At 37.8% G+C, this 392-nt stretch overlaps 1 non-coding gene across 1 annotated transcript; it reads right to left on the reverse strand.

Moving 5' to 3' along the window:
* Positions 1–264: 264 nt before the first annotated feature.
* Positions 265–392, reverse strand: LOC124900534 (small nucleolar RNA SNORA40). The gene has a single exon (XR_007088727.1). It is a non-coding gene; the product is annotated as a small nucleolar RNA SNORA40 (small nucleolar RNA).

Below are 392 nucleotides of genomic sequence, written 5' to 3' on the forward strand. Positions count from 1 at the left end.
CTCCCTGTCTTCTTTTCTTAAAATTTTATTTTTTAAATTTTATATATAAAGAAAAATATTCACCCACCTAATTTTTAAGTTTTAATGGAGATGGGGTGTTGCTTTCTTGCCCAAGCTGGTCTTGAACTCCTAGCTTCAAGCAATCCTCCCACCTTGGTGTCCCAAAGTGTGGGGATTGCTTGCGTGAACCACTATGCCTGGCCTGGAACCAACCTTTATGGTTATCAGAACTCCCGTCACTTAGTTAACTGTCTCAGGTATGAAAATGTCCTTTCTTATATGTATCAAAACTCATACTGAACAATGAGTTCTGGGTTGCAAAAGAGGATTTATTTTTTGCACCTGTCTGTAAGACTTTATCCACAAGTTAAGCAAAAACATGCACAAGTCTA

The sequence above is a fragment of the Homo sapiens genome, chromosome 2 (genome assembly GCF_000001405.40).
Source record: "Homo sapiens chromosome 2, GRCh38.p14 Primary Assembly".
In the NCBI taxonomy this organism is placed as follows: Eukaryota; Metazoa; Chordata; class Mammalia; order Primates; family Hominidae; genus Homo; species Homo sapiens.